Below are 2,372 nucleotides of genomic sequence, written 5' to 3'. Positions count from 1 at the left end.
TGGTATATAATCTGGGAAACTCTGTTTTAGAATATCAATAATAATGTGTAGTTGTGTGTGATATATAAAAGCTTACTTTAGATTATATACTATTATATTTTCAGCATAAAGTTTATATTATCCATAGGCAGAATTTCTGATTTTCCCATTTAGTAAATGCCATGTACTGTTTGATTAACTCTACATTAATTTTAAAAAAGGCTCAACTTGTCAAAACACACGTTCTCAGATGACATATTTCATGTTTGGATTAGGAACTGAATGTTTATTACATGTAAACTGAAACACAAAGGTGCATTTTATAGTATCAAGAATAGACCACAGAACAATAATTCCATAAAGTATTTGGCTTTAAAAAATATTTTGGGCCGGGTGCGGTGGCTCACACCTGTAATCCCAGCATTGTGGGAGGCCGAGGCGGGCGGATCATGAGGTCAGGAGATGGAGACCATCCTGGCTAACACGGTGAAACCCTGTCTCTACTAAAAATACAAAAGATTAGCTGGGCATGGTGGCACATGCCTGTAGTCCCAGCTACTCAGGAGACTGAGACAGGAGAATGGTGTGAACCCAGGAGGAGGAGCTTGCAGTGAATGGAGATCATGCCACTGAACTCCAGCCTGGGCAAGAGAGCGAGAGTCTGTCTCAAAAAAAAAAAAAAAAAAAAAATTGGTATTTGTCTCTAAATAAAGATTATAAATATGTTGCAAAAGTAGATAAATCTTTCTTTCTGATAAAAAGACAAAATTGTTTTCTTTTTATTATTTTTCCACATTCTAGAGATTTCTTGATGTGCTATATTAAAATATTGATCAGTTATACACAATTTATAAATAAGATTTTTTTTTGCTATTTTGACGATTTTATATCAAAGAAACCTAAAGTTTAGAGGTGTTTATCACTGCAGAAGGTCAAATATGAACTTGGCGTTTGTGGATGAATCAAAATGAGTATGGTTGTGTGTTACAGAAAGATTCAATAACTAGTTGTTTCCTTCCTTACTTTTTTCCTTCCTTCTTTTCTTCCTTTCTTCCTTCCTTCCTTCTTTCTTTCCTCCCTTCCTTCTGTCCGTTTTTTTGAACAATTAGTTTTTGTTAAAGTTGCTAGAAATTTGTATGGCTTTTAATATACTTGCACTAGCTTCCTTTCTTTAACAAAGTTATAGGTGGTATCCACTTTGGATTTTCAGTGACTGTTTCACCAAATTGGATTTTGATCAACAGTAACAATGTTATTTTTATTTACAGAAAACAGTGACAGAGAATAGATGAAAATAGTAACCTTTTAAGTTAGTCTTATAAAATTTATCATGGCTCTGTCTCCTAAGAACGTTTGTACTAGAATTATTATTTGATTCCTCTTATTACTGACTGCTTTTACTCTTGATCCCCAGAAAGCACCCTCGCCCCCACTGCTGGTACTTGAAAACACCTTTTTTCCCATTTATTTTTATAGTTTTAAGATGGCCAGAAGCGTTTTGTTTCTTTTAGGTATAACAATGTTAAAGTTAACCTAGTGGGTCCGGGCGCGGTGGCCCACGCCGGTAATCCCAGCACTTTGGGAGGCCGAGGCGGGCGGATCAGGAGGTCAGGAAATTGAGACCAGCCTGGCTAACATGGTGAAACCCCGTCTCTACTAAAAATACAAAAACAAAATTAGCCGGGCGTGGTGGCGGGTGCCTGTAGTCCCAGCTACTTGGGAGGCTGAGGCAGGAGAATGGCGTGAACCCAGGAGGCGGAGCTTGCAGTGAGCTGAGATCACGCCACTGCACTCCAGCCTGGGCGACAGAGCGAGACTCCGTCTCAAAAGAAAAAAAAAAGTTAACTTAGTGGTATTAAAGTTCATCGGATGCTACTTTATAAGGTATTTAAAGATGTTTTGAATACATTAATAAGAAAAGAATAACACCTGTAAACTGTAACACAATATGGAAGAGATAGCTCAGAAACGGATATAGTTACAACAGTGATTTGTAAAATTCTAGGAGTTGAAGAGCTACAGTGAACTTTTAGTAATTAGTAGTGGTGTGTAATAATGAATAAATACTATTTTGAAATAATTTTTGCCACAGTGTCACTTTTATTATCAGGAGCAATATAGGTAATTTTAGACTAGCTTTTCCAACACCGTAGAGCTCTGATTGATTTTCTGACATTTGGGATGATCTGAGGTCCTGAGAACTCTCTCCATGTTAATTTTCATAGTGCATATACCAAAAATATGCTAAATGCCTCCAGTGTTCCAAACCTAAAATCACATTTTGCAGCCAGATGATCCTTATAAATTTGTTTCCCAGAAGATCATAATCCAGTATTGAAAAATATATATTTTAATATCTGATGTTTTCCTAGTTAGCATTGGTTTTGTAAGGC

At 36.5% G+C, this 2,372-nt stretch overlaps 1 annotated feature.

Moving 5' to 3' along the window:
• Positions 1,732–1,901: an enhancer, noted in NCBI's record as "experimental_73219 CRE fragment used in MPRA reporter constructs". NCBI's record gives its function as "activates a minimal promoter by MPRAs in K562 erythroleukemia cells, with activity observed for both the introgressed and non-introgressed 4:127872451 variant alleles {active_cell/tissue: K562}" and the evidence as "EXISTENCE:reporter gene assay evidence [ECO:0000049][PMID:34662402]".

The sequence above is a fragment of the Homo sapiens genome, chromosome 4 (genome assembly GCF_000001405.40).
Source record: "Homo sapiens chromosome 4, GRCh38.p14 Primary Assembly".
In the NCBI taxonomy this organism is placed as follows: Eukaryota; Metazoa; Chordata; class Mammalia; order Primates; family Hominidae; genus Homo; species Homo sapiens.
The sequence above is the reverse complement of the archived record's forward strand: the minus strand, read 5'-3'. Positions and strand labels throughout refer to the sequence as shown.